Source organism: Homo sapiens, chromosome 8, assembly GCF_000001405.40.
Source record: "Homo sapiens chromosome 8, GRCh38.p14 Primary Assembly".
Taxonomy (NCBI): domain Eukaryota; kingdom Metazoa; phylum Chordata; class Mammalia; order Primates; family Hominidae; genus Homo; species Homo sapiens.
The window spans coordinates 60,057,466-60,083,187 of record NC_000008.11 but is presented as its reverse complement, the minus strand read 5'-3'; the positions used below and the strand labels follow the sequence as shown (position 1 = coordinate 60,083,187).

At 37.7% G+C, this 25,722-nt stretch overlaps 1 long non-coding RNA gene across 5 annotated transcripts in view, besides 1 other annotated feature; it reads right to left on the bottom strand.

Moving 5' to 3' along the window:
* Positions 1-25,722, bottom strand: part of LOC105375861 (uncharacterized) — a 69,653-nt gene that overhangs the window by 33,273 nt on the left and 10,658 nt on the right. The window contains exons 3-4 of one of the 5 annotated variants that reach the window (XR_001745714.3): positions 24,660-24,937; positions 8,465-8,594 (exon numbers count right to left, since the gene is read on the bottom strand). This is a non-coding gene — a long non-coding RNA (uncharacterized LOC105375861). Of the gene's footprint in view, positions 1-7,410; positions 8,595-22,955; positions 23,401-23,482; positions 23,584-24,659; positions 24,938-25,722 lie in introns of those variants that run through there. The other 4 variants (XR_002956710.2, XR_001745716.3, XR_001745717.3 and 1 more) reach the window with 4 other exon arrangements.
* Positions 10,551-10,751: a silencer, noted in NCBI's record as "peak7046 fragment used in MPRA reporter construct". NCBI's record gives its function as "represses an SCP1 promoter by STARR-seq MPRAs in K562 erythroleukemia cells {active_cell/tissue: K562}" and the evidence as "EXISTENCE:reporter gene assay evidence [ECO:0000049][PMID:32103011]".

Sequence of the window (25,722 nt, the reverse complement as noted above, 5' to 3'; positions counted from 1 at the left end):
CTCCCCTAGCCAAGGGAAGCTGTGAGGGACCATTCCATGAGGAACAGTGCATTCTGGCCCAGATACTATGCTTTTCCCATGGTCTTTGCAACCCACAGACCAGGTGATTCCTTCCAGTGCCTACACCACCAGGGCCCTGGGTTTCAAGCACAAAACTGGGTGGCTGTTTGGACAGACACCAAGCTAGCTGCAGGAGTTTTTCTTCATACCCCAGGGGCATCTGGAACACCAGTGAGACAGAACTGTTCACTGCCCTGGAAAGGGGACTGAAGCCAGGGAGCCAAGTGGTCTAGCTCAGCAGATCCCAACCCCATGGAGCCCAGCAAGCTAAGATCCAGTGGCTTGAAATTCTTGCTGCCAGCACAGCAGTCTGAAGTTGACCTGGGACGCTCCAGCTTGGTCGGGGGAGGGACATCCACCATTACTGAGGCTTGAGTAGGCCATTTTCCCCTCACAGTGTAAACAAAGCCTCCAGGAAGTTCAAACTGGGAGGAGCCCACCACAGCTCTGCAAAGCCACTGTAGCCAGACTGCCTCTCTAGATTCTTCCTCTCTGGGCAGGGCACCTCTGAAAGAAAGGCAGCAGCCCCAGTCAGGGGCTTATAGATAAAACTCCCATCTCCCTGGGACAGAGCACCTGGGCAAAGGGGCAGCTGTGGGTGCAGCTTCAGCAGACTTAAAGATTCCTGCTTGTGGCTCTGAAGAGAGCAGCAGATCTCCCAGCCTGGCACTCGAGCTCTGCTAAGGCACAGACTACCTCATCAAATGGGTCCCTGACCGCCATGCCTCCTGACTAGGAGACACCTCCCAGCAGGGGTCAACAGAAACCTCATACAGGAGAGCTCCAGCTGGCATCTGGTGGGTGCCCCTCTGGGACGAAGCTTCCAGAGGAAGGAACAGGCAGCAATCTTTCCTGTTCTGCAGCCTCTGTTAGTGATACCCAGGCAAACAGGGTCTAGAGTGGACCTCCAGCAAACTCCAACAGACCTGAAGCAGAGGGGACTGACTGTGAGAAGGAAAACTAACAAACAGAAAGGAATAGCATATCCACTCAAAGACCCCATCTGAAGGTCACCAACATCAAAGACCAAAGGTAGATAAATCCACAAAGATGGGGAGAAACCAGCACAAAAAGGCTGAAAATTCCAAAAACCAGAATGTCTCTTCTCCTCCAAAGGATCACAACTCCTCACCAGCAAAGGAACAAAATTGAATGGAGAATAAGTTTGATTAACTAACAGAAGTAGGCTTCAGAAGGCGAGTAATAACAAACTCCTCTGAGCTAAAGGAGCTTGTTCTAACCCAATGGAAGGAAGCTGAGAACTTTGAAAAAAGGTTAGACAAATTGCTAAACTAGAATAATCAGTGTAGAGAAGAACATAAATGACCTGATGGAGCTGAAAAACACAGCACGAGAACTTTGTGAGGCATACACAAGTATCAATAGCCAAAGCAATCAAGCAGAAGAAAGGATACCAGAGATTGAAGATCAACTTAATGAAACAAACCGTGAAGAAAAGGTTAGAGAAAAAAGAATGAAAAGGAATGAACAAAGCCTCCAAGATATATGGGAGTATGTGAAAAGACCAAACCTACATTTGATTGGTGTACCTGAAAGTGATGGGGAGACTGGAACCAAGTTGGAAAACACTCTTCGGTATATTATCCAGGAGAACGTCCCCAACCCAGCAAGGCAGGCCAACATTCAAATTCAGTAAAGACAGAGAACACCACAAAGATACTCCTTAAGAAGAGCAACCCCAAGACACATAATTGTCAGATTTACCAAGGTTGAAATGAAGGAAAAAATGTTAAGGGCAGCCAGAGAGAAAGATCGGGTTACCCACAAAAGGGAAGCCCATCAGACAAACAGTGGATCTCTCTGCAGAAACCTTACAAACCAGAAGAGAGTGGGGGCTCTGGTTGACAATACTCAACATTCTTAAAGAAAAGAACTTTCAACCCAGAATTTCATATCCAGCCAAACTAAGCTTCATAAGCGAAGGAGAAATGAATTCCTTTACAGACAAGCAAATGCTGAGAAACTTTGTCATCACCAGGCCTGCCTTACAAGAGCTCTTGAAGGAAACACTAAATATGGAAAGGAAAAATTGGTATCAGCCACTGCAAAAACATACCAAACTGTAAAGACCTTTGACACTATGGAGAAACTGCATCAACTAATGGGCAAAATAGCCAGCTAGCATCAAAATGACAGGATCAAATTCACACATAACAATATTAACCTTAAATGTAAATGGGCTAAATGCCCCAATTAAAAGACACAGACTGGCAAATTGGATAAAGAGTGAAGACCCCTCAGTGTGCTGTATCAGGAGACCCATCTTACATGCAAAGACACATACAGGCTCAAAATAAAGAGATGAAAGAAGATTTACCAAGCAAATGGAAAGCAAAAAAAAGAAAAAAAAAGAAGAAATAAAAAGACAAAAGAAAAAGCAGAGGTTGCAATCCTAGTCTCTGATAAAACAGACTTTAAACCAACAAAGATCAAAAAAGAAGGGCAAAAAAGAAGGGCATTACATAATGGTAAAGGCATCAATGCAACAAGAAGAGCTAATTATCCTAAATATATATGCACCCAATACAGGAGCACTTAGATTCATAAAGCAAGTTCTTAGACACCTACAAAGAGACTTAGACTCTCACACAATAATAGTGGGAGACTTTAACACCCCACTGTCAATATTAGACAGATCAACAAGACAGAAAATTAACAAGGGTATTCAGGACTTGAACTCAGCTCTGGACCAAGCAGACCTAATAGACATCTACAGAACTCTCCACCCAAATCATCATAATATACATTCTTCTCAGCACCACATCACACTTATTCTAAAATTGACCACATAATTGGAAGTAAAACATTCCTCAGCAAATGCAAAAGAACGGAAATCAAAACAAACAGTCTCTCAGACCACAGTGCAATCAAATTATAACTCAGGATTAAGAAACTCACTCAAAACCACACAGTTACATAGAAACTGAACAACCTGCTCCTGAATGACTACTGGATAAATAACAAAATTAAGGCAGAAATAAATAAGTTATTTGAAACCCATGAGAACAAAGACACAATGTACCAGATCTCTGGGACAGAGCTAAAGCAGTGTTTAGAGGGAAATTTGTAGCCCTAAATGCCCACCCACAGGAGAAAGTGGGAAAGATGTAAAACTGACATCCTAACATCACAATTAAAAGAACTAGAGAAGCAAGAGCAAACAAAATCAAAAGCTAGCTGAAGACAAGAAATAACTAAGATCAGAGCAGAATTGAAAGAGATAGAGACACAAAAAACCCTTCATAAAATCAATGAATCCAGGAGCTGGTTTTTTGAAAAGATCAACAAAATTGATAGATCACTAGCAAGACTAATAAATAAGAAAAGAGAGAAGAATCAAATAGACACAATAAAAATGATAACGAGGACATCATCACTGATTCCACGGAAATACAAACTACCATCAGAGAATACTATAAACACCTCTACACACATAAACTTGAAAGTCTAGAGAAGATGGATAAATTCATGGACACATACACCCTTGCAAGACTATGCCAGGAAGAAGTCGAATCCCTGAATAGACCAATAACAAGTTCTGAAATTTAGGCAGTAATTAATAGTCTACCAACCAAAAAAAGCCCAGGACCAGATAGATTGACAGCCAAATTCTACTGGAGGTACAAAGAGGACTTGTTACCATTCCTTCTGAAACTATTCCAAACAATAGGAAAAGAGGGACTCCTCCTTAACTTACTTTATGAGGCCAGCATCATCCTGATACCAAAACCTGGCATAGACAACAAAAAATTCCAGGCCAATATCCCCGATGAATATCAATGTGAAAATCCTCAATAAAATACTGGGAAACTGAATCCAGCAGCACATCAAAAAGCTTATTCACCACAAACAAGTCGGCTTCATCCCTGGGATGCAAGGCTGGTTCAATATACACAAATCAATAAACCTAATCCATCACATAAACAGAACCAACAACAAAAACCACATGATTATTTCAATAGATGCACAAAAGGCCTTCGATAAAATTCACACCCTTCATGCTAAAAACTCTTAATGAACTAGGTATTGATGGAACGTATATCAAAATAATAACAGCTATTTATGACAAACCTACAGCCAATATCATACTGAATGAGCAAAAGCTGGAAGCATTCCCTCAGAAAACTGGCACAAGACAAGGATGCCCTCTCTCACCACTCCTATTCAACATAGTATTGGAAGTTCTGGCAAGGGCAATCAGGCAAGAGAAAGAAATAAAGCATATTCAAATAGGAAGAGAGGAAGTCATATTGTCTCTGTTTGCAGCTGACATGATTGCATATTTAGAAAACCCCATTGTCTCAGCCCAAAATCTCCTTAAGCTGATAAGCAATTTCAGCAAAGTCTCAGGATACAAAATCAATGTGCAAAAATCACAAGCATTCCTATACACCAATAACAGACAAGCAGAGAGCCAAATCATGAGTGAACTCCCATTCACAATTGCTATAAAGAGAAGAAAACACCTAGGAATCCAGCTTACAAGGGATGTGAAGGACCTCTTCAAGGAGAACTACAAACCACTGCTCAAGGAAATAAGAGAAAACACAAACAAATGGAAAAACATTCCATGCTCATGGACAGGAAGAATCAATATCGTGAAATGGCCATACTGCTCAAAGTAATTTATAGATTCAATGCTATCTTCATCAAGCTACCATTGACTTCTTCACAGAATTAGAAAAAACTACTTTAAATTTCATATGAAACCAAAAAAGAGCTCATATAGCTAAGACAATACTAAACAAAAAGAACAAAGCTGGAGGCATCATGCTACCTGACTTCAAACTATACTACAAGGCTACAGTGACCAAAACAGCATGGTACTGCTACCAAAACAAATATATATTCCAATGGCACAGAACAGAGGCCTCAGAAATAACACCACACATCTACATCTATCTGATCTTAGACAGACCTGACAAAAATAAGCATTGGGGAAAGGATTCCCTATTTAATAGATGGTGTTGGGAAAACTGGCTGGCCATATGCAGAAAACTGAAACTGGACCCCTTCCTTACACCTTATACAAAAATTAACTCAAGATGGATAAAAGACTTAAATGGAAGAGCTAAAACCATAAAAATCTTAGAAGAAAACCTAGGCAATACCATTCAGCACATAGGCATGGGCAAAGACTTCATGACAAAAACACCAACAGTAATGACAACAAAAGCCAAAACTGACAAATGGGATCCAATTAAATGAAAGAGCTTCTGCACAGCAAAAGAAACTATCATCAGAGTGAACAAGCAACCTACAGAATGGGAGAAAATTTTTGCAGCTTATCCGTCTGACAAAGGGTTAATATCCAGAATCTACAAGGAACTTAAACAAATTTACAAGAAAAAAGCAAACAACCCCATCAAAAAGTGGACAAAAGATATGAATACACACTTCTCTAAAGAAGACATTTATGCAGCTGACAAACATGAAAAAAAGCTCATCATCACTGGTCATTAGAGAAATGCAAATCAAAACCACAATGAGATACCATCTCACACCAGTTAGAATAGTGATCATTAAAAAGTCAAGAAACAGTAGATGCTGGAAAGGATATGGAGAAATAGGAACACTTTTACACTTTTGGTGGGAGGGTACATTAGTTCAACCATTGTGGAAGACAGTGTGATGATTCCTCAAGGATCTAGAACCAGAAATACCATTTGACCCAGCAATCCCATTACTGGGTATATACCCAAAATATTATAAATCATTCTACTATAAAGACACATGTAAATGTATGTTTATTGCAGCACTATTCACAATAGCAAAGACTTGGAACCAACCCAAATGCCCATCAGTGATAGACTGGATAAAGAAAATGTGACACATACACACCATGGAATATTATACAGCCATAAAAAAGAATGAGTTCATGTCCTTTGCAGGGACATGGATGAAGCTGGAAACCATCATTCTCAGCAAACTAACACAGGAATAGAAAACCAAACACCACATGTTCTCACTCATAAGTGGGAGTTGAACAATGAGAACACATGGACACAGGGAGGAGAACAGCACACGGTGGGACCTGTCAGGGGGTGGAGGTCTAGAGGAGGAACAGCATTAGGAGAAATACCTAATGTAGATAATGGGTTGATGGGTGTAGCAAACCATCATGGCATGTATATACCTATGTAACAAACCTGTACATTCTGCACAGGTATCCCAGAACTTAAAGTATGCTAATAAAAATAAAGAAAATATAGAAGCAGCTGGTGGCCATATTTTTAACATCTGGAAGAAGCTGTTCATAAGGAACAACATACTGGGTAGAGAGAAGCATGGATAGGAGATAGAGAGTCTCAGAGATTACAAATTCTTCTTTTCAGTTGTAACTAAGATCTACTTAGGCCTTTTTATTTTTACATGTTCAGATTTGTAATAAATTCCTCTTTGCTCAAGCTAATTGCATTGGGTTTCTACTGCTTTCAAGTAAAAGAGTCTTGAATCATAGAACCTGAAAATTATAAACCAGGGAAAGTTGTTTAGGGAATAGCAAAAGCAAGTTGGTTCTGTTACGCTAAGGAAGCTGGCTTTACTAAAAAATATTTGTTCCCCCATTTGAGTGAGGTGCTACTCTATGAAGTATTAGATCCACAGCAAGACTGTGACTAAAACCTGATTAGTGTCTACATGAATCTGTTGTGTGGGACCAAGAAAAATATTAAATTAAAAAGCCTTCCATGTGTATAAGATGAATATTTTGATCATTTTAGCTTTCTCTCTTTCCTATTCTGCAACACGGAGCTCCTCCACTGGGATGAAACTCAAAGAATTTGTATGCAACCACTATGCTGCTCAAACCTTCATTTCATATCATAGTGGGATTCATACTACACAAAGCAGAGGAGAAGCAAAGGAGGTCTTTGCCAGGGGAAAATCCTAGATTGTCTGTATATATTTACTAATCAGTTAGAGAAGGGAATATTTATAATTTTTAAAATGTTTTTCATTGATAAGATAGCAACCTGAAGCCATTTGCAGCCCCTTGCCACTATGCACAGGATGTGAGTCAAAGTCCAGGAGCCTTATGAATTATGCATCACATCACATAATGCACGTTCCACTATGCCCCCACCTGCTCATTAGGACATGGAGGTTGCCTCCAATGTCCATTTCTAACATCTTTCTTTGCGCTGTGCTTTCTAGGTAGCTGTCACACTGTGGCAGAGAAGATTAAGTCCTAGACTATAAATCTGGAGATAACAAGGGCTTCGCCATTTACTTGTTTTAGAAACTTATATAAATTAATCTCTGGGCCTCTTTTCTTCAGTGGAATGAAGAAATAATACCAACCTTGTAACAAATTTTATTAGTCAATTAATGCAAAAATATTTATTAAATGGCTATTATGTGCAAGGCTCTTTTTTTGGGATTTAGCAGTGAACAAAACAAAACCCCAAAGCCCCACTTACCTAAATTTTATAGTCTAATTATAGAGACAGATTATAATGGGTGAGATATATACTATGTGAGAGAATGACAAGTGTTAAGGAAGGAAGTAAAGCAAAGAAATAGATTAGGAACTGCATAGGGGTGATTTAACTTTGCAAATGTGGCTCAGGAAGACCTCTCTGAGGAGGCTGTATTTGGGTAAAGATTGGTTGGAAAGAGAGGTCAAGCCATGCAGGTATCTGGGATTGGAGCTTCCTAGGTGGAGAGAACCATGTGAGATAAGGTTTTCAGGAGATACTATGCACAGTGTATTGGAAGAACAGAATGGACATCATTGTGGCTAGAGTGGAGTGAAGTGGAGGAAAGATCTTTCTAGGTCCCTGTAATGTCTTTGGCCTTTACTTTGAGTGAGATGGGAAGCTATTGGAAGTCCTGCATCAATTGCCTTCAACGTGCCTAGACTAGTTCTGGCACACAGCAGGTATTCAATAAATGCTTGTTGCTTGAACCAAGGGTTTGGTTTGTTTGTATCCTTCTGCTTCCACTTTCAGCAGCAGCATGAGAGTTAGGATTATGGCCACATTGTGTCATGGTCTTTGCAGAGTACAGGAAATCCCTCTGAATTTCTCAGGAATGCCTGCAGGAGCTTGCTGCTTTTTTTTTTTTTTTTTTTTTTTTTTTATCACTGTCATCATTTCCTTCAAAGAAGAAGTGGCCAAAGTTGGCTTAGAATCTGCAGGGCAGTCAATTGATATTTCTACCAATAATCCATTAGTATTGGTGTATATCCCAGGATCATTAACATATTTCCTCTCTGACATCTGATAGTTAACATATTTCCTCTCTATCAATATGGATAGAAGCTTGTTAAATATGTTTACCTAGTAGTTTTAGAGCCATTATGGAAGTTAATTATACAGTGCTCAAGAGAGCATAAAAATAGAAAAAACAAAGTGAGTTGATCGGAGAGAAAGAATCACACCTGCTGGTTTTGTTGCATGACCTTGATCTTGAGATAGAATTGTAATGGGAGGGAAGTTGGCTGATGATGTTGAAAGTGAAGTTTCCACTCCCTCTGTGTTCACAGATGTTCTGAACCAGATCCACTCATCCTTAAGAAAATCAGAAAATTAAGGTTAGAGATGTGCACAAATGAGCACTTGCTATTCAAAACAATAATTTAAAAAACTCCCTTGATAGAGTAAGCAAACGAAAAAAAAAAACAGCTGTGAAGTAAAATGTGGCATTCCCGTTTTTCCTTTTATTTGTTTAGGAAGGCATTTAACAAACACTTGTTAGTTCTGAGCCTTACTGGTTGATGAATGTTCCAGCGACTAAGCCAGAATTTAATTTAGTCCTCTATTTAAGAATGTGTCCGTTAATAGTCTATGTGTTAGTCAAGGTTCTCCAGAGAAACAGAACCAACAGGAGATATGCACTCACAGACACAACACATGCACACACACAGACACACACACACACACACACACACACACACACACGGTGAGAAATAAATTTCATTATATATGATATATTTCAAATATATGATATCATATAAGTGAGATTTATTATAAGGAGTTGGCTCATGGGATTGTGGAGGTTGAGAAGTCCTAGGATCTGCTGTCTGCAAGCTGGAGACCCAGGAAAGCCACTGGTGTAAATTCCAGTCTGAGTCCAAAGGCCTGAGAACCAAAAGCACCAATGATGTAAGTCCTAGTTCAAGTGCAGAAGAAGAGGGATGCTACAGCTCAAGCAGTCAGGCAGAGAGCGAATCCAACCTCCCTCTGCCCTTTTTTTCTATTCAAGCTCTCAATGGATTGGATGATACCCATCTACACTGGAGACAGCTCACTGCTTTACTCAGTCCACCAATTCAATTCTAATCTCTTCTGGAAACACTCTTACTGACACACCCAGAAATAATGTTTAATTAGATATCTGGGCATCCTATGGCCCAGCCAAGTTAACACATAAACTTAACCATCACACCTTATTACATTTTTAAAGCACATTTATTTCTGTCTTCATCTTCCTCACCTGCAAAACAGTAAGATCTATTGACTATTTGGTCACAACTATGTCACCAGATTTTTCAGACTGCAGAGTGTATTTAAAATGAAAAATCTGTAATTCAGTTGAAAAGGATAAATTTCACAGCTATAAACAATCTTTTTATGACATGACTTATGGTCGTGGTGGCAATTATAATATATTCATCAAATGTGTTTGCTACAAATGGGAGTAAACATCCCTGAAATCATGGTTTACTTTTTTGAAATAAACACATTTATTAGTAATGTCCATAAAATATCATATAGAATTTCTAATACAATGATGATTTTTAACATTTTCAAGGTAACTGTGAGAATGAGATTTGTTGAAATAGATTGATAAAAAAGAAAATTGAAGTCAATAAGATTAAGGACCAGGGAATATAGGAGAGTTATATTTTTCCAGACCAGATAATTATGATCTGACTCAGTTTAAATTGGACTCCATGAAAACTGGTCCTTTAAGGGTTGCCTAGGTGAGACCAATTTGTGTTCAATGAATTTTACATATTTTTTACTTTCCTTACTTTTTGTTAAAAGCCTGAGTAATTGGAAGGAAATAGACTTCAGCATATTGTATGAATATTTATTTTGATGAGCCAAAATTGGTAAGAATGTATTAGTCTATTTACATATATTATTAAGTAGGCCAGCAAACTTCCCAGCTTCTGGTAAGAGGACTCTCCTTCTAATTAGGAAAGTGCCCCTTCCTTCAATTCTTTGCCATGGAATTCAGTGGATATCACTATTTTTTTACAGGACTTTTTCTCCCTTGCCAAAGTGACTGGGTGAGGAGCAGGCAACATTCCAGGTTAGGACAGCCCTGTTATCCAATCCCGCAATAGGCATATATGGCCTAAACTGACCTAAATTAGTCTTCCTCCAATTTTTTTTCTTTATGGTGCTAGTAAAAAATAGCTGTCCGTCTTGGAAGTGAGGAGTTGTGGGAAACTGTGTGTCCTGTGTGGAAGAGGTAGGGTTGCATAAGAGATAAGGAGGTGAATAATCAGCAGAGCGGAGAAACAGAGTGAGTCCCGAACTTGAACTAGCACCAGGTTCCGGCTGTACTTGAGACATGATGCTATCCATGTTCTTTCGGGTAGTTGAAACTGGTGCTGTCCTTTTGGCTGAGATTAGGAATGAGTAAGGCAAATGTCCTTGATCTTTATCATATTGTATCTCTGACTGCAGAGGCCGGACAATATTTTCACATGTATTTAAAAATCTTGGAAAACTCAAAGATAAGTTTATCTTTTCAGGTTGAGTCTAATATTTAAATTGCATATTTGTGTTTATTAAAGAGGCTTTAAAATACCTTATTGATTTTTGTCTTTCACTTAGATGCAAACAAATGTCCTGCATATATAGTAGACATCTTAGAAGCTGAAATTACAAACAAACAGGCTGTGTGGAATGTAGCTTAAAATACAACCTTTAAACTTTTTAGTGTATATTTTTGTTTTGCTAGTTCTTATTCTATATAACTTTATCTTTATAAAGAGAATTTTCTGGGCTGATATCCAACAAGGACTTGGACTTGTCTCTGAGCACTTTTATTGTGCCACATATATTTGTTATCATGTAGTAACATAAAACACACACGCACACACAAACATGCCTGCAACGAAACCCATATCATGCAATTTGCCATTACTGAAACTAAGGCCATCTCTCTTCTGATCGCTGGCTCTTTGCAAAATATTCTAATGATAAAGGCAAGCTCACTGGTAAATTTTTAGAAAGTCAGTTTAGATTCTTTTGTCATAGAAAATCCAACTTTTGTTTTTATCATGCACTGGTTTTTATGTTGGCTATTTATGAAAACAGTTATTATCTGTGATCTGCCAAGAATCTGTTGAAGCATCCCACAGTCATCAATGTTGATATGTAGATAGACATATTGCCATCTTTGACATCAACAGATGTAGCATTTTCATACCATACAGGAAGTAATGGAGCCTGACATTTCTAGGTTGAAAGCCCCTCTTTGTTTCTTGCACAAATGGAAATAGACTTTGTGGCCTTGTTGTTCACTTGCTGATTGCATGTAAATGCTTTCATAAAAATAGGGAGGTTTTTCATCTTATTACTTCATGAAATTTGGGAAATAAAGGTAAAGGAAGAAAACAGCCAGACAAACCAAAGATGATTTTTAAAATAGTTTAAATTCTGCAAATCTTAAATAGAATTGCTATGCAAGTAGTAACATTTGCTGCTTTTGTAGGTGGTGAATTTGTATGACATTTCCATAAACGACTAATGGACAGAATACTTTTAAATAGAGGTATCAAAAGAGCTGAACTATACTGATTTCCTGGTATCATTTCATATTTAGGTGTTATTTTGTTGAGGTCTGAATGAAAGCTCAATTCCTTGATTCTGAAGAAAGGGGCCTCAGGATATCAACGGGGCAGTATTAGCATCCGGTGTTTTCTAGTCCCCTTGGATCAGTGATGCTTTGACCAGCTCCCATTTTCTAGTAAGAAATCCTAGCATGTAACCTGAATTTTTGACATGTTGGGGAATCACTTGCAACAGAAAGAATTAGCAGCTGAATATATAGTACAGTTATGAGTTGAGGTAGATAGTTTTTATGTACTGGAGAAAAAGCTACATTTTAATTTCTTAGATAACATTTGGGTGATATTCTCTCATATTGTGAAATCTTGAGGCTGATGGGCTATACTATCTGTACCCAGTGCAGTAGGATGGGGGTTACCTGAGGTAGTGGAAGCAGGTAGGTGAAGGTACTGATAAGATTTTTTAAGAAAAAGAGCCCAAACACTTTTATTGATATTTTTTCTGATCATAAGCCTTAACATGTATTTTTCATTCTTCAAGGTTTTAATATTTATTGTAAAGTTCTTTTAATATCGATATCAATACTTTAGCTTTATTTAAGGACACATGTTTGTGTAAAAATGTAGGGTACCTAGAAAAATAAAAATAGAAAAAAAATTGCTACTCATTATCTCATCATCCAGAAATAATGACTGTTAAAAGATTGGTGATATTTACTTTCAGTCATTTTTCTATGCAAAGCACACTAAAAATATCAGTCTCTTAATTATATATCTTATGGTGTTATTTCCTTTTCTGCTTTTTAAATATAAAATTATATGATAAATATTGCTCAACAAGACCTACAATGGCTACATGGTATTTTATCCTATCAATGTACAAAAGTTCATTTAATTTTGTTGTTTTGGGAAACATGTAGTTTACAGTTACTTGCTGTATAAAATGATGCTCCAGTTTATATTTTGGTAGCAATGTGGCAACATCTAATAGAGTTGAAGCTCTGTATGTTCTATAAACTTGCAGTGTAATTTGGGTTATATACTTGAGAGAAAGTCTTTCCTATATGTAGTGAAAGGAGAAGTGTACATTGATGCATTGTTTATAATGCATAGCTAGCTATTTTGCCCACAGGGCATTATATAGGAGACTGTGGTTTACTTATACCATGGAACAGTGTATAGACTTGTAGTGAGTACAGCACAAAGTAAGTATAGTAAATTGGATAGTATGAAAAGCAAACAGGTCCTGTTTTGCTAAAGAACAGATTAGTGAACCTAATCCACAGAAGCAGAATCTAAAAGGAAGCACACAGAGAAAAAAAGACGGAAAAAAATGGATTCTCAGGTACCTGTAGGATAATATTACGTGGTCTAACATATGTACAATTGGAGTTGCAAAAAAATAGAAAAAAGAGGTGGGCAGAGGAAATACTTGGGGAATATTCTTAGACATATACTTGGGGAGCTTCTTAGATACTTGGGGAGTATCTAAGAAGCTCAACAAATCCCAAGCAGGGCCCACATGCATGCTGACAGAAAACACATCAAGGCCAATCCTAATCAAATAGCTGACAATTAGGGATAAAGAGAAAAATACCAAAATTGGCCTAATTAAAATATACACACTTTGTACAGAGCAGGGTTTCTCGATCTCAGCAGATTGAGAATTTGGGCTGGGTAATTCTTTGTTTGTAGAATCTGTCCTGTTCATTGTAGGATGTTCAGCAGCATCCTTATTCTCTACCCACTAAATGGCTGTGACCACACCCCATCAAGTGACAATAAAAAGTGTCTATGGACACTGTCAAATGTCCCTTGGGGGGACAGTTGTCTCACACTGAGAATCACTGTGTATAGGAACAAAGGTGAAAATGATTGCAGACTTCTTACCAGAAATTTGCAAGCCAAAAGACAATGGCACTGAAAGAAAAAAAAAAAAAAAGAGAAAACCTGTCAAGCTAGAATTTTGTATTCTTAAAAAAAATCCGTTAAAAAACTGTTTTTATTTCAATAAAACCAAAGCTGAGAGAATTTGTTACCAAAAATCTTGCACTACAAGAAGTGTTAAAAGAATTCTTCTGGCTAAAGGAAAAGGATACCAAATGGAAACATACTTTTATAAAGAAGTAAAAAACACCAGAAATGGTCAACATGTAAGTAAATAGAAAATACTTTTTGCACTCACTATTTTCATTTTTAAAAATTGTTCTTGACTTTTTGAAGCAAAATAATAGTGTATTGTGATATTAATAAGAATAGGACAAAGGAAGGGAGGGACAGGTGGGTGTATGTATTAGACATGAAGTGGTATCCTGGGATAAGTTAACTGTGCATATTGAAAGCCATAGAGTGACAAGTAAAATAAGTAAACAAAGACATATTATTAATTCAAGTTAGAGAGTTCAATGAAACATGAAAAAATACTCAGTCAATCTAAAACCAGGAGGAAAACAGGAATAAGAGAACAAAGAAGAGAGGGGGCAAATAGAAAACTCACAGCAAAATAATAACTTTAAACCCAAATACATTGATAATTATGTTAAATATAAATGGTCCAAACACTCCAATTTAAAAATAGAACATATCAGACTGGGTAAAAAAGCAAGACTCAGCTATTTGTTATCTAAAGACACCAGCATTTCTCTCTTAAGAAATGAGGATTTTATCCTACCTACCCGTAATATGATTAGCACACTCAAAGATTTTTTTATTTGGTAACAATGACATTTTTTTAAAGCTCAAAGTAATTGTCTTATAAAATGTCCCATGGTTTAGATTTCTCTGATTGTGTTTCCTCCTGATAAAATTAAAATTTTGACAAGAATAATATATAAATGATCTTGTATAATTCTTATTGTATTCTATTAGAAGGTATATTATTAGGATAATGACCCTATCATTTATCACTCAAAATGGTATACTTTTGCGGGTGAAAGGGTGTACTGTTAATAAGTAAGTACTCTAAGACAACAGATGAAACCAGGGTATGACCCAGGTAAACTGGGACATGGCCACTTAATTATGGATGATACTAAGTTTTATAACTTGGTTAAGATGAAATCTATCAGAGCTCTTCAGTGTAAAAGTACTTTTTTCCTTTGTAATGATTAAGTTCAATGTGAGTAAACATATTGAGAACATGTGAATATCATATTTTACATAATGATTTTAGCACCCATTAATGAGCCTTGCCTAAATAAATGATTACTTTTTTTTTGAAAATGGCAGCTTTATTCTACCATTTTTTTCTGAGTGTATTAGTTTGCATTCTTCTGTAAAGAAGATCTTTCCTCAACCTCCTCGTTATCCTTTTAATACATTTATGGACTCATCCATTAGGGTCATTATTCTTTTTTATGTTCAAATCATTAGAAAAGGCAGCCAGGAGTAACCTTTGTAAGCTGATTTCCTTGCTGTTTTCATCTGTCTCATTTGTATTTAAGTATTTGCTTGTTTTATGTTACCAGGATGTTCCAGTTTTCACTTGTAACTTCCATTTCCTAATGGTTTGTCTATTGATATGACTGTACCATACTGTTTTAATTATTGATCTTTATAGTTTTATCTAGTAGTGGTTGTCCCCTATCATTACTCTTATTTAGGTAGATTTTCCTAGTCATTAAAAAGTGGGGGTTTCTTTTGCATATGCACTTCAGAATTAACTCATATAGCTACAGAAAAAACTAAGTTGTTGGGATTTTTCTTAAAATTGCATTAAATTGATATGCTAACTTGGATAAAATTGGCACAGTTATGATAATAAGTTGCCCTGTCCAAGGAGAAGGAAGATAATTGTATTTTTCTAGTCTTCTCTATTTTGGTGTCTTTCAGGAGAGTTTTAAAGTTTTCTTTTTAAAGTTTAAGTATCTTTTACTGTTGCTATTATAAGTGGGTTTTTCTCTTTCAATATATATTCTAACTGGTTATCAGCTGTGCTTATGAAGGCTATTTACTTTTGTAAGCTGATTTTATATTCAGATACGTTATTGAATTCCTTTACTGTTTGTGTCAGCTTTATCATGTTTTTTTTAGGTTTTGAAGGTCCACTATAATATAATCTGCAAAAGAGAGATAATTTTACTTCATTCCTGACACAATTTTTATGCTTTTAAGTGTTTTCCTTTATCAGATGGCCATGGCTCATGTCTCCAGTGAAGCTGTAAATAGTAGTGGTGGTAGAGGGCATTATTCCTGACTTAGTGTAAAGGCATCCAGTGATTTATTATGAAAGGCGTATATAATATATATTTAAAATGGGTATTGAATTTTGTTGAAGACCTATTAGCCCTTATAGAATTAATTATATACTTTTAAATTGGATTTATTAATGTTGTGAATTACATTAACATGATTTCTTATATTCCTGAAATAAATTTTACTTGGTCATAATGTATTATTATTTTTACATGTACTTTTGAATTTTATTTGCCAGTATTTTATTTAGGAATTTTTCACAGATATTTATAAGTGAAGTTGTTCTGTAGGTTTGTGTAGGTGTACTGTCTTTGGTAGGTTTAGCTGTATACTGTATGTTATTCTTATTTCACAGATAAGGTTTAGAAAACATCCTTCTTTTTCTATGCCTTGGACATTTTAAGAAGCATTGGTGTCGTCTGAATCATGAAGAATGGTAAAATTTGTCATTCAACTGTCTTGGTCTGGCATTGTTTATGGGGGGAGGACAAAGTTTCTTTGATGACTTTATTTTCTCTGGGGAAAGATTTCTCACTATGCTTTTCCTTTACTGGTGTCATTCTTTGAATTTTTTTTTGTAACAGAAAAAAGAATCTTTATTCTACTAGTTGAAATGGATGGTTTGGATAAGCTTATATGTTGAAAATTATTTATGCTGGAAAATAATTCTTAAGTGATGAATTATAATTGACTGCTGTCCAAGCTTTCTAATCTGATTGAGAGAAGCATTCTTGAGTAAGGATGTTAGACAGTGAATAAGAGAATGAACACTGGAGAGTGAAATTTGATTGTTGAGGGGAGGGGAGACCAATGAAGAAAGTAGTAAAGAAAGGAGGAAATCAAAGAAAGAAACTAGCAAAGAATGTGGCCATTTTGCCTTAAACTGATCCATTTCCATCTGAGAACTTGCTCTTACTTGAGGACTTAACTTGAATTTAACTATAGAAACTGTAAAATTAACTATAAAAGCCTTATGTATTAATTCTCACTGAATTTTGTTTGTGGATGCTTGTATGCTCTTTGTTGCCATCAAAAGATACTGTAATCTAATTTCATACACACACAGACACACATATATGATGCATGAAAATTTAGGTAATTTGAGTAACAATCGGGAAATTGAGTAAGAGTTAAAAAGCAACAATTTTGTTTGTATTATAACATATTAGTTTGTGTTCTAAGCATTGTATGGACTAACATTTAATCCTCACACTAACTCTATTAGATAGATGCCATTATACAACATGAATTTTACAGATACAAAGACCCCGGAGGCATAGAGAAATTCAGTGAGCCACCTGGAGTTACCTAGTAAGAGGTGAGTAGAGACAGATTGAAATTTAAGTGTCAACTTTAGAGCCCAGGATGCCTGAGAAAAGGCAAAATTTATTCTCTTAATATTCATTCATCCATTTCATTCCACAAATACCTCTAAGCTTTAGTCACTTTGCTGTCAGACAGAATCAACATCAGGCATTTTATGCCTTTGAGGAACTTGAACACTACAAGGAAGACAGTCCTGTCTCCACCCAGCAGGCCCCACAGTGAGGTGGGATTATGTGGCAGGTAGGGTGAGCTCAGTGTCCAAAACCTGCTGTCACCAGCAGGGAGAACTTGGGTCAACTTCTCAGCCATTCTAAACTCCAGTTACCCACTGAAAAACGGGATAACAATCCAACTAAATTCAGTTTTATGATGAGAATCAAGTAAGATCAACTATCTCAAGAGATGGAGCTCACCAGGTGCCTCTACTAATCCTTTCAGAACCTGAAGCGAGCATAGGCTCTACAGAGTCTAGGATTTTTTTACCTTAAAAAACAGAGAGACAAAGATGTGCTTAATAATGTAGACCTAAAAAGTGTGACTGTACTGCTTTTTCAGGGGAAAATGATGTGATTCTGTGCCTTAGGGTTAGTGAATGCTGGTTGAATACAGAGAAATAACCTGAGAACATTTCAGGATCCCAGATCTGATCCACTATTAAAGGGAAGGAGGGTTGGAAGCATGCTGCCTTTGAGGTGTTCCCCTCCTCACCTTCTTGGGAATCTCAGCCATGTGCCTACGGTAATGACATCCTGGTTTCCTCCAGTCTTGTGGGAAGAGATTGTAGAGAATTTCCTGCTGAGGGAAATGAAAAGCCTATAGCATTGAGATTCTTTCTCAGAAATCCAGAAAAGAAAAAAGAGAAACTCATACATGATGGTGGACTTTGAGCCCAGATGGCTTGGATTTGAATCCCAGCTTGGACACTTACTAGCTGTGCAATGAAGAAGTGAAAACTCATGGGCCTAACATCTTCCTGTGTAAGGTAAAGATAATACTAAAACTCACATGATAATACTGTTGTACTTAATCAGTTAGTATATATAAAGTAGTTGGTGTGTTTGTATAGAGTAAATAATATAAAAGTGCTAGTATAAAACAATAAAAGCTAGCAGCTAAGGGTTTAGCTTTTCTGTTGATGGGAAGGATAAAGAACTCTAAGGTCCTTGTAAGATTAACCCCTGGAGTGTAGCTGTGATGAGGGAGTTCCTGAAAGTCTAGGTGCAGAGAGGACCTGGTGGCTGGGATTTTTCTTTTTTTTTTTTTTTTACATCCCACTGGCTGTAATTTGGGAGATCTCAGTAAAGGGTGCCCTGTGTGAGTGAATGGTGGTGGAGATCTCTGGGGAGGAGTGTTTAGATGAATGTGAAAGGCAGTTCAACTTTCACAGCCAAGAGGAACCCTGTGAGCCTGGATGTCATGAGTCCTCCTTGCAAATGAAGGCATCTGGTGCATCCCTGTTTTGAGAAGTTCTACAGGTGGTGGTACATTCTCTTTGAGGCATAATTCTCCTAGAAGCAGTGTGACTCATTATCAGTCAGTATCTCTTGGGAGAAACTCATCTAGGAGGTTACTCACTCCAAAGTAGGTTTTGAGGTGTGAAAGCACCAGGGTGTTTAGAGGAGCTAAGTGGTTGAGTGGCTTCTGTTTGTGAGAGGAGCCATCAAGGAGGGTTTCTAGGCAACCCACCCCCTGTCCACATGGAAGTACTCCTGATATCACCTTGACTCATGGTCATGGAAGTTGACACATGGTCTTAGTCTTCTCTGGCTGCTACAACAAAATACCATATACTGGATGCTTCAAACAACAGAAACATATTTTCTCACAATTCTAGAGGCTGGAAGTCCAAAATCAGGGTGCCAGCATGGTTGAGTTCATGCCTCTTCCCGGCATGAAATAGCTGTCTTTTCACTTTATCCTCACATAGCAGAGAGAATGAGAGAGTGAGTGAGCTTCTAAGAACCTAATCCCATCATGAGGGCCACACCCTCCTGACATCATCTAAACCAGATTATCTCCCAAAGGCATCATATCCAGATACCATCACAACAGGGGTGACTACACCAACATAGAAATTTGGAGGGAGACATAATTCACTCCTTAGCACACACTTTCTTGGACCATGGCTAATATTTGAGCTGTATTACAGACTCAAGTCTTCAATCATTTCAATGATAATGCATAGTGCAGAGATTTGGAGGTAGCTATTTTTAAGACATCTAGTTAAGACGAGGGGATTCATTTGGGCTACAGCATGTAGTGGTGAGATAAAAGAAGATAATATTCTCTCTCAGTACTCAAGCCAAATGCAATGCTGTGATAGGTTTACTGTCTTAGTCTAATATATTTTTCATTTTACTTTGCATTTGGCTCCTGACACACTTACCCATTGCCCAAGGAGGTCCAAGATTTTCTTATTTTTATGGGCTCTTGACATCCTGATTTTCTCTATTTTCCTCAAAGTATCAAAAAATCAACACATTTTGGAGTTTGCAATGCTCTTTCATGTTTGATGAAATTCTGATATTATAAATATGTTATATAACAAAGAAAAAGTTGAAAAATAATTTAAGACAACATGAGTGGGTGTTTTCATCAGGTGGTTCATGTAATTGCCAGGGAATCACAGGTTAAGAAGCCCTAATGTTGTTTAAACAGAGAAGTAGGTTCTGTGCTTCCCCAGGATTCCAGTGGGGAGCCTAGAACATTTGCCCAAGCCCATTGAATACTTCCTGATATGTCACTGGAGGAGTCACTGAGCTCTGAGTTTTTCACTTGCAAGATGGTGTAAACAATGAATGTTTCCCTCAGAGGTGGTTATTGCAACCTGCATAAACTTAATATCTACTACTTGTTATCTGTTATCTGATGTTCCATTAATTAGAGCATTGAACTGCTTCTTTTCCTTGTTATGAGTGTCCACCCTAAGTCACAAGTGGATTCCGATGTGCTTTTTGAATCACCAAAACAAGATTAAATGATGTTCATTAAATATGAATTAAGGATTCTCAACTGGGAGTGATTCTACCCCCTAGGGGATGTTGGGCGATGTCAAGAGACATTTCTGGTGTTCCCAAAACTGAGGGTTACAACTGGCATCTAGTGGTAGAAGCTGGGGATGTTGCTAACCACCCTACAGTGCATAGGACAGCCTAAATGTCAGTAGTTTTAAAGCTGAGAAAGCCTGGTCTAGAATATTTGAATATATTATAATTTTTTGAATTATGAATGGTTTTGTATATACCCAGAAACTGTCTACCACACGCAATACTTTATTAACCAGAAATCCTTTTCTGCAACCTTACTGGAGAATAAGTTTAATACCTGTTATTGAGGTTTACACCTTAGGAATATCTTATTGATTACAAAGTTTGAGATGACCTGGAATAAATAAATGATTGAAAAAGGATATAGGACACTTTTCTAGAGTGCTAAGAAAGGGGATGTCTCTCTCTGTCCAGGAGGCCCATGGCATAGTCTGAGCTAGAGGGAACAGGGGATGTTAAATGTTTTTGATGTTTACTTTTTGTTATTACTTCCAGTCTTAGGATCCTACTTTCACATGAACACCTGAAATGGCACTGAGCACCCTGGGACATACATGGTTCCTCTGGAAACAACACAAAAATACCACTTCCCTGAAGCCAACCTTGTCCTGATACAGCCAACTTGGTCACCTCTTACTTTAACTTTCTTCATAAAAACCCTAGTGAGTGTAAAAATGAGCTCTGCCTTAATTTTTATCTCCCTTCTCAACATTCTCTTCTTTTCCTGCACACAGGCCTAAGAGAAGGTTTGTGGCAGTCTGGGGAAGTTTTACTAAAAGTGTCCAGGGCATACATTTATAAAAATAATTTTGATTAATTGCCTGAGCTCTGAACTCCCAGAAGAATGGCTTTGAGTCCAGGTGGGTAGGTACAGTCTTGTTACTTGGGAGAAGTCAGTTACTCAGAAAATAAGGTTTATGGGTAGAGGTCAGTGCCTGTGCCAAGCATATAGTAGGTGCTCAATAAGTGTTAATAATAGTTATGATATAATTAATTACAACCTGTCTTGATAACCTTTATTTGTCTCATTTCATGATACCCAGTGCTTGGACTCACTGGAACAGATGGCTGGTGCTGTAACGGTTGGTGCTCTATTAATTTGCTCTTTCTACTCTTCTGGGAACACCCACTCATGTGCCTGTCAGAAGCTGGGTCACCCTTCTGGGCTGAGTTCATATGACATGTGCCCTGGAACCTTCCAATCTGTGCTCCTGTGGCATTTTGGACTTTGCTCACTAAAGTGCTGGTTACAAGGTTTTGCAATTAACCAGATATGGACCCTGAGCTCTATAAGAGCCCACATCTCCATGTGATTTGTTGTATGCTCCGTGACTTTCTCTTGAAGGAATGAATTGGATTTTGCTTTGGTTTGAGCAAGTAGGGAAGTCAAGAAGGAATGGACTTAAAACTTCAGAAGGGCCCAGACTGAGAAAACATTTGACAGTGGAGAGCTTACTTCCGGTTTATACTGAAGTAAGTAGCAGAATGGGAAGAGAAAAAAGAGCAGGATATTTCTAGGAAAGCTTTTTAAAATCCTTCTGTTCCTTATATCATAGATTTTTTCCCACAGACTTAGCAAATATTCACCATGTGCCCACAACGAGCCAGGGACTGTGGAAGGTTCTGGAAATGCATTGATGAACAAGATAGCCAAGATCCCTGACCATATTCAATCAGTCTTTTGCCCTGCTCTACACATAGATGTATTGTATCCTCTTGTAATCTGGTTCGACGCTAGGCATATTTCTCCAGATTTAAGTAAATAAAACTGCAACATGACTGAATCTTTCATTTGGTCTTTGGCGCCTGCAGCAGAATCTCTTGGTGGCATTAGCCCAAAGGGTCAGCTAATCTGAGTTTTTCATGTCACCAGGTTGGGAATCATTATGGTTTGATAGATGTTAACTTGTCCACATTATTCTCTTCCAAAATAGAAGCAGAGTAAGAAATAATTACTTTCTCTTTGAAAACCATGGAAGCTTGAGAACTAACATGCCCATTAAAATAATTGTAGAATACTTGCTTCTATTATCTAGTAGTTATTTGTTTGCAGCTTGGCATCCTGGGTTTGTGTTCTTCAGAGATTCAGGATGTTCTTTAATGATTAGGACTCACTGTGTTTATGATACATATTCACTCACATTTTTCAAAATTGATGTGGGCATGAATTGGGCTGGATTTAGTCTCCTTTTTCTTTCCAGGTGAGCTTAAAAATCCAAAGCGGGGGGAAACCTCTTAACAGAGCAGAAGCCTTGGATGCATTGTCCCTGCTCCCCCCACCCCACCCGTATTCATTTCTAACTAACGCTTTTCATCTCAGAGGGTACATGAATATGTAAGTGCAAGTGCGGCTTATTGTGAACTCCGAACAAAGAGTAGTGCTGTAGATTTCAATGTGTTTGGACCATAATGTGCTGCTTTCTTGATAATGGGCTCTCTTGGCATTGAAATGAAAAGCAAACATATCATTAAGAAGGCGCTCCATAAAAACTGTCTGTCATATATCTTAAGCTTCATTAGTTTAGATTAATGACTTACTTGATATACATGACAATAGGTGAAGCAAATCTTTGTTTATTTATTGACAATTAAATGTGGCTCTGACACGCATAAACAGGCTTCTCTCTGATTAGTTCCATGTTTTAAAGTAACTTTGTGTTATAAAACTTGTTAACTACAGTATCATTTTATTGAGCTCTGCTCGGTGAATGATGTGATCTACATTGAAAGGCATCAATATTGCAGCCATTCCTGGCAGTCACTGGAGCATTGTGCTCACAGATTGGAGTTGATATCTCATTGTACAAATTCAGGGACCCAGAAAATGTCCAGTTATTGAGCCTCTGCCCTGCGAGGACAATGTTCTATTCATGGAATCTGGGTCCAAGGTCACAGACTGAAACCTGAACGAAGGGTAAGATTCAAATTCGTTTCATGATTTTGCCGAGGACCTCCCTGAAATTCAGTGTTTTGAAAGCATGAAGCTTTTCCCAGAGTATCCTGTTAATGCAATGCAAAGAAGCATATACATAAATATAGTGCGTTCTAATTAGGAGGCCGCTAGAGGACCAAACAAGCTTACCTTTAAAAATAGATCTTGATAGGTCTGATATTATATTGATTCAGATGACATAAGAAAACTTCCAAGAACACTTCATAATAAACACACCATTTTAGAAGAGGCTGGGAAACCAGGGAGAGGAAAAGAGGAGGAAAAGGGTAGAAGGGCAATGTGGCATTAAATGTATCTGCATGCTTGGCTCACTGAAATATTCGTGGTTTGCCTTTCCAGGAATTCAAAGTTGGAGGCTGTCAGGGATAATCAGTCCTTCCCATCACAGACACCCCATGGTTCTCCTTAATAGCTCCCTTTTATGTGCCGTCAGTCCTCAAAAATATATTTAGAAAAGACTTATTTAGAAGGAGGCATAAAATAAAATCCATGTTGCAGTTGAATATTACAAATGATACTGGGGCTCCATTCTGTGCTATTAGGCTCCCTGTAGAATTTCCATACAAAGTAAAAAATAAACTCCTAGCCAGGTCGAAGGAGAACTCTTTGGTAAAAGAAACCATCTTCTTCTACACAACCACTCACGACATCGTGGGAAGGCAGATCTCCCCAGACACTGGAATTCAGTAAAACATCTTTGCTTTCCTTAGGAAATATTAGGGAAAAAAATGCACACCTACTTATCTTTTCTATGGAATATCCTGGGACAAAGTTTGAATGCAAAGAAAAGGATAATGTTAATATAAGCATTATCCAATTTTACCTACAGCCCTTGAGGTAGCCTGTCCCTAGAAGATGACTTTGCAATGATTTTGCTCTTAATTGTGGTGTTAGCACTTCATTTGGTTAATATGGAAAAATCCATCGTTATACTATTGAAGAGTAACCACTCTGCTCCTTAAATTACTTTCTCCCTTCTTTTCATTATGAGCCATTCTTCCCCTTCTCACACCACCCCCTCTCCCTTAGCCTCAGTCCAGATTACAGCCTCATCAACAGCCACCTTAGCCTGGGACCATTGGTCTGGTGTGTGCAAAACCAGAGGACAGGGTCTTCAGAGGGCAGTGTGGGGCAGCAATAAAAAAAGTTGCTCTCATTTCATACTCTTCTACAAAATTTGCCCTTTTGAATTGTGCTAACCCCTCCCAGAGGAGGAAGGCAAACACACTGAGGCCTGGGGACAGGGTAGCTTCTGGAGGGACCAGGACTGAATGGGGAACTGGGGATTAAACGGTACCATCTTTACCTGCTCCCTGGTTGCTGACTCTTTTTTCTTCTCAATGGTCAAAAACCAGCAAAAGCATGAATGTGCTGAGTTTTGGGCTTCCCAGGCACTTCGATGCTCAGCTTTTCAATGGTTCAGCTCTCATTCTTGCCCCGGGATCCTTTGGCAGGTTGTTAAAGTTCTCACATAATAATCGCTCTCATCAGTTAACAAGGAAGAGCACCTGGGTGACCAGCTACCAGTTCCATTTCACGGTGGGTCATACACTTCCTTTTCAAATGGTACCCTTCTAGCATAGCCTGTTTATATTCGGAAAGAGGAAAACATATACAGAATTTTCTTAATCAAGAAAAATGTGTGCTATCATCATAAAATTTGGGGGAGCTCATTTACCTACAAATTGATATATTTTATTCTTTGTGATTTTGGAAACATATTTTGAAGTTTTGTTTTTATATCATATTATTATCTCATGAAGAAACAGCAGTCTTTATAGGTTTATCCCATGTTTATGAATAAGTTTTTAAAAATAATTGGGAGCTATTGGATTGTAATATATATCTGAAATGATGTGAGCAACTTGATTTGAAAGATAAATTGATGAAGTCATATTTTATTATTGGATAATGATGTTGAAAATAACACAGAATTAAATAAAGCAAGTTAATGTGATAAAGTTTTGTACTAGCACCAGTGGCTGGATAGCACTCACAAACCAAAATCCTGACCAAACTAAGATCCTTATCAAAGCACAAAATTAAATGTAAAACATCTGCAACTTCAAGACCATAAACTTTTTTTTTCCCAAAAGAAGCAAATGAACAGGTTAGACTTGCCTAGCTCCAGATTACACTGCAGCTTTAGATTTTTTTTTCTATGAGGACCTTTGTTATAATTGTCCATCTTTAAAACTCTGTATCATTAAGCTTGATTTATCTATTAGAATGAGATTTTCATATGCTAACCAGGAGCTCCTAAAGCACTAATTCGTTCCCTAAAATACTTTGGCTATTTTATTTTGCTCTCCTTTGTTCACAAGCCTCAGCTTTTCTTTCAAAATTGCACTCTCTTTTCTCTGTGGCAG